The sequence below is a fragment of the Homo sapiens genome, chromosome 4, assembly GCF_000001405.40.
Source record: "Homo sapiens chromosome 4, GRCh38.p14 Primary Assembly".
Lineage (NCBI taxonomy): Eukaryota > Metazoa > Chordata > Mammalia > Primates > Hominidae > Homo > Homo sapiens.
Window position 1 is genome coordinate 22,267,454 of NC_000004.12, and position 6,824 is coordinate 22,274,277.

General features: G+C 38.7%; 2 annotated features.

The window, feature by feature from the left end:
- Positions 851-2,050: an enhancer, noted in NCBI's record as "MED14-independent group 3 enhancer chr4:22269927-22271126 (GRCh37/hg19 assembly coordinates)". NCBI's record gives its function as "activates an origin of replication core promoter dependent on BRD2, BRD4, P300/CBP and CDK7 cofactors, and independent of MED14, by STARR-seq in HCT116 cells {active_cell/tissue: HCT116}" and the evidence as "EXISTENCE:reporter gene assay evidence [ECO:0000049][PMID:35650434]".
- Positions 1,185-1,710: an enhancer, noted in NCBI's record as "H3K27ac-H3K4me1 hESC enhancer chr4:22270261-22270786 (GRCh37/hg19 assembly coordinates)". NCBI's record gives its function as "activates a minimal SCP1, AML or CMV promoter by ChIP-STARR-seq in primed H9 embryonic stem cells {active_cell/tissue: H9 hESC(primed)}" and the evidence as "EXISTENCE:reporter gene assay evidence [ECO:0000049][PMID:30033119]".

Here is a 6,824-nt window from a genome sequence, read left to right on the forward strand (position 1 = left end):
TTATCTCAACTAATTTTCAACAAAGTTTCCAAGAACAAACAATGAGGGAAGGACAATCTCTTTAACAATTGGTGTTGAGAAAACTGGGTATCCATACGCAAAAGAATGAGATTACACCATTATCTCACATCATACTTAAAAATCAACTAAAAATGAAGAGAAATGTAAACATAAGACCAAAAACTATAAAGCTACTAAAAGAAAGCATAGGAGAAAACTCCATGATACTGTCTGGGAAATTATTTCTAAGATAAGACTTCAACAGCTCCACAGGCAACAAAAGTAAAAACAGACAAATGAAACTGCATCAAACTAAAAAGTTTCTGCACAGCAAGGGAAACAATTAACAGTGTGAAGAGACAACCCACAGGAGATTGGAAGAAAATGTTTGCAAACCATACATATGATAAAGGTATAATATATAAAATATATAAGGAACTCAAGCAACTCAATAGCAATATAACAAATAACCCAATTTAAAAATGGGCAAAGAATCTGAGCAGACATTTCTCAAAGAAAGATATGAATAGCCAACAGACAAATGAAAAAAGTGCTCAACATTTCTCTAATCATCAGAGAAATGCAAATTAAAATCCCAATAAAATATCACCTCATGCCGGTTAGCATAGCTATTATCAAAAAAACAGTCAAAAATGATCATGGCGGACCCGAAGCAGGAGTAGATTACAGCTCCGACTTGGACGGACAGAGCAGCATGTGAAGGCTTGCTCCAGAACGACTGCAAGAACAAACCAGGAATCCCAAGAGGACCTACAGACCCTCTGAAGGAAGCTTATATTCCTCCTGCAGGACCTGGGAGACACCCCAAATACTGCAAGTGCCCAAACTACAGAAGTGGAAATGGGATATTCTCCACTCCCGAACATACACTCCCACGGGGTGTGGGGAAACTGAAGGTCTAGTTTGCCGGAGAAGTTTCTGACCTTACCTGGAGCTGAGTCAACTTAGAGAGCTGAGTGAAATGCAGGGGTGGAGGAGGCAGTGGGAAGGGCCCTGGGAGCTTGCTGGGTCCCCAGGCAGGCCATTCCTGCCTGGCACCACAGGGATCCTTTCGGGAGGGTGGCCAGAGGTGCGGGGAGATAACCACAGGGAGTAGGAGGTCTCCAGCTGAACGTTGTAACAATTTGAACCAGGTGAGAGGCCTCCTGGCCAGAACTCAGGGGAGGGTGTAAATCTAGCATGCAGACTCCACAGGTGGGGGAAGAACCAGAGCCCTTTTATCTCACGGCTGGGAGGCGGGCAGCCTGGGACAAGTTCTTAAGCCCTGCTCACCCACTGCCTGGAAATAGACAGTGCTGTTGGGGGTGGCACAATGGGAGTGAGACCAGCCCTTCAGATTGTGTGGGAGTTGGGTGAAGCCTGCGACTGCTCGCTTTCCCCCACTTCCCTGACAACCTGCATGACTCAGCAGAGGCAGCCACAATCATCCTAAGTACACAATCCATTGACCTGGGAACCTCACTTCTATCCCCGACAGCAGCCACAGCAAGGCCTGCCCAAGGAGAGTCTGAGGTCAGACATGCCTATTCCTGCCCCCACCTGATGGTCCTTCCCTACCCACCCTGGTAGCTGAAGACAAAGGGCATATACTCTTGGGAGTTCCAGGGCTCCACCCACCACCAGCTCCTCTCCATACTACCACAGCTGATGCTCTCTGGAAAGTGCCACCTCCCAGCAGGAGACCAACCAGCACAAAAATAGAACATTAAACTACCAAAGCCAAGAACCCTCGCAGAGTCCATTTTACTGCCCTTCCACCTTCACCAGAACAGGTGTTGGTATCCACAGCTGAGAGACCCACAGACAGTTCACATCACAGGACCCTGTGAAGACAACCCCCAGTACGAGCCTGGAGCCTGGTAGATTTACTGGGAGGCTAGACCTAGAAGGGAGACAACAATCACTGCAGTCTGGCTTTCAGGAAGCCACATCCATAGGAAAAAGAGGGGAGTACTACATCAATGGAACACCCTGTGGGATAAAAGAATCTGAACAACAGCCTTCAGCCCTAGACCTTCCCTCTGACAGAGCCTACCCAAATGAGAAGGAACCAGAAAACCAACCCTGGTAATATGTCAAAATAAGGCTCTTTAACAATCCCCCGCCAAAATCACATTAGCTCACCAGCAATGAATCCAAACAAAGAAGAAATTTCTGATTTACCTGAAAAACAATTCAGGAGATAATTATTAAGCTAATCAGGAAAGCACCAGAGAAAGGCAAAGCCCAATGCAATGAAATCCAAAAAATGATACAAGAAATGAAGGGAGAAATATTCAAGAAAATAGATAGCATAAATAAAAAAACAATCAAAACTTCAGGAAACTTTGGATATACTTATAGAAATGTGAAATGCTCTGGAAAGTCTCAGGAATAGAATTGAACAACTGGAAGAAAGAAATTCAGAGCTTGAAGACAGGTCTTTGAATTAACCCAATTCAACAAAGACAAAGAAAAAAGAGTAAGAAAATATGAAGAAAGTCTCTAAGAAGTCTGGGATTATGTTAAATGACCAAACCTAAGAATAATCAGTATTCATTAGGAAGAAGAGAAATCTAAAATTTGGAAAACATATTTGAGGGGATAATTGAGGAAAACTTCCCCAGCCTTGCTGGAGACCTAGATATCTAAATACATGAAGCACAAAGAACACCTGGGAAGTTCATCACAAAAAGGTCATCACCTAGGCACATTGTCGTCAGGTTATCTAAAGTTAAAGTGAAAGAAAGAATCTTAAGAGCTGTGAGGCAAAAGTACCAGGTAACCTATAAAGAAAAACCTATCAGATTAACAGGCGATTTCTCAGCAGAAACCCTACAAGCTAGAGGGGATTTGGGCCCTATCTTCAGCCTCCTCAAACAAAACAATTATCAGCCAAGAATTTTGTATCCAGTGAAACTAAGCATCATGAGCATCATATATGAAGAAAGATACAGTCTTTTTCAAGAGAACAAATGATTAGAGAATTCGCCACTACCATACCACCACTGTAAGAACTGCTGAAAGAAGCTCTAAATATTGAAACAAATCCTGGAAACACATCAAAACAGAACCTCTTTAAAGCATAAATCACACAGGACCTATAAAACAAAAATGCAATTTAAAAAGCAAAAACAAAAAACCCAAGGTACACAGGCAACAAATAGCATGATGAATGGAATGGCACCGCACATCTCAATACTAACACTGAATGTAAATGGCCTAGATGCTCCACTTAAAACACACAGAACTGCAGAATGGATAAGAACTCACCAACCAACTATCTGCAGCCTTCAGGAGACCTAACATATAAGGACTCACATAAATTTAAAGTAAAAGGGTGGAAAAAGACATTTCATGCAAATGGACAGCAAAAGCTAGCAGGGGCAGCTATTCTTATATCAGACAAAACAAACTGTAAAGCAACAGCAGTTAAAAGAGACAAAGAGGGACATTATGTAATGGTAAAAGGTCTTGTCCGATAGGAAAATATCACAATCCTAAAATATATGCACCTAACACTGGAGATCCCAAATTTATAAAACAATTACTAATAGACTTAAGAAATGAGATAGACAGCAACACAATAATAGTGGGGGACTTCAATACTCCACTAACAGAACTAGACAGGTCATCAAGACAGAAAGTTGACAAAGAAACAATGGATTTAAACTATGTCTTGGAACAAATGGACTTAATAGATATATACAGAACATTTCATCCAACAACCACAGAATACACATTCTACTCAACAGTGCATGGAACTTTCTCCAAGATAGGCCATATGATAGCCCATAAAATAAACCTCAATAATTTTAAGAAAATTGAAATTATATCTAGCACTCTTTCAGACCACAGTGGAATAAATCTGGAAATCAACTCCAAAGGGAAGCTTTAAAACCATACAAATACATGGAAATCAAATAAGCTGCTCCTAAATGTTCATTGGGTCAAAATGAAATCAAGATGGAAATTAAAAAATTCTTCAAACCGCATGACAATAATGACACAGCCTATCAAAACCTCTGGGATACAGCAAAGGCAGTGCTAAGAGGAAAGTTCATAGCCCTAAATGGCTATATCAAAAAGACTGAAAGAGCACAAACTGGCATTCTAAGGTCACACCTGAAGGAACTAGAGAAAGAAGAATGAACCAAACCCAAACCCAGCAAAAGAAAGGAAACAACCAAGATCAGAGCAAAACTAAATGAAATTGAAACAAAAAAATATGAAAGATAAATGAAACAAATAGCTGATTCTTTGAAAAGATAAATAAAATTGATAGACCATTAGCAAGATTAACCAAGAAGAGAGAAAAACCAAATAATCTTATTAAGAAACAAAGTGGGGAGGGGGGAGGGATAGAATTAGGAGATATACCTAATGGAAATGAGGAGTTAATGGGTGCAGCACACCAACATGGCACATGTATACATATGTAACAGACCTGCACGTTGTGCACATGTACCCTAGAACTTAAAGTATAATTTAAAAAAAAAAAAAGAAACAAAATGCGAAATTACAACTGACACCACTGAAATACAAAAGATCATTCAAGGCTACTATGAACACCTTTACAGACATAAACTAGAAAACCCAGAAGAGGTGGATAAATTTCTGAAAAAAATATAACCCTCCTAGCTTAAATCAGGAATTAGATACCCTGAGCAGACCAATAACAAGCAGCGAGATTGAAATGGTAATTTAAAAATTACCAACAAAAATAAAAGTCTAGGACCAGACGGATTCACACCAGAACTCGACCAGACGGATTCACACCAGAACTCTACCAGACATTCAAAGAAGAATTGGTACCAATCCTTTTGACACTATTCCACAGGAGAGAGAAAGAGGGAATACTCCCTAATTCATTCTATGAAGCCAGCATCACCCTAATACCAAAATCAAGAAAGGACAAAACAAACAAACAAACAAAAAAAACTACAGACCTATACCCCTGATGAACATAGCCAATATACTTAACAAAATACTAGCTAACCAAATCCAATACATATCAAAAAGATAATCTATCATGATCAAGTGTGTTTCATACCAGGGATGCAAGGATGATTTACCATACACAAGTCAATAAAGGTGATACACCACATAAACAGAATTTAAAACAAAAATCACATGATCATCTCAATAGATGTAGAAAAATCATTTGACAAAATCAAGCATCCCTTTATGATTAAAACTCTCAGCAAAACTGGCATACAAGGGACGTACCTCGATGTAATAAAAGTCATCTATGATAAACCTACAGCAAACATAATACTAAAAGGGGAAAAGTTGAAATCATTCCCTCTGAGAACTGGAACAAGACAACAATGCACACTCTCACCACTCCTCTTCAACATAGTACTGGAAGTCCTAGCCAGAGCAAGCAGACAAGAGAAAAAAATAAAGGGCATCCAAATTGATAAAGGGGAAGTCAGACTTTCACCTTTTGCCGACGATATGATCATTTGCCTCGAAAACCCTAAGGACTCCTCCAGAAAGCTCCTAGAACTGATCAAAGAATTTAACAAAGTTTCCGGATACAAGATTAATGTACACAAATCAGTAGCTCTTCTATACATTAACAATGACCAAGCAGAGAATCAAATCAAGAACTCAACCCCTTTTACAATAGCCACAATAAAATAAAATAAAATAAAATAAAATAATATAAAATAAAATAAAATAAAATAAAATAAAATAAAATACTTAGGAATATACCTAACCAAGTAGGTGAAATAACTCTGAAAGGAAAACAAAACACTGCTCAAAGAAATCATAGATGACACAAAAAAATGGAAACACATCCCATGCTCATGGATGGATAGAATCAATATTGTGAAAATGACTATACTGCCAAAAGCAATCTACAAACTCAATGCAATCTCCATCAAAATACCACCATCATTCTTCACAGAATTAGAAAAAAGATTATAAAATTCATATGGAACCGAAAAGATCCCGCATAGCCAAAGCAAGACTAAGCAAAAAGATCAAATCTGAAAGGCATCACACTACCTGATTTCAAACTATACTATAAGGCCATAGTCACCAAAACAACATGCTACTGGTATAAAAATAGGCACACAGACCAACGGAACAGAATAGAGAACCCAGAAATAAAGTTAAATACTTACAGTCAAATACTTACAGTCAAATACTTACAGTCAAATACAGAGTGTGGATGTTCCTTAAAGAACTAGAAGTAGAACTATCGTTTAATCCAGTGATCCCACTACTTGGTATCTACCCAGAGGAAAAGCTGTAAGTATTTACAACAAAGCAAACTGATCTTCAACAAAGCAAAGAAAAAATCAAGTGGGGAAAGGACATTCTTTTCAACAAATGTTGCTGGGATAATTGGCTAGCCACATGTAGGAGAATGAAACTAGATCCTCATGTCTCACTTTATACAAAAATCAACTCAAGGTGGATTAAGGACTTCTGAAACTATAAAAATTCTAGAAGACAATATTGGGAAATCCCTTCTAGACACTGGCATAGGCAAGGATTTCATGACCAAGAACCCAAAAGCAAATGCAATAAAACCAAAGATAAATAGCTGGGACTTAATTAAACTAAAGAGCTTTTGCACAGCAAAAGGGACAGTCAGCAGAGTAAACAGACAACCCACAGAGTGGGTGAAAATCTTAACAATCTATACATCTGACAAAGGACTAATATCCAGAATCTATAACAAACTCAAACAAATCAGTAAGAAAAAAAACAAATAATCCCATTAAAAAGTGGGCTAAGGACATGAATAGACAATTCTCAAACGAAGATATACAAATGGCCAATAAACATATGAAAAAATGCTCAAT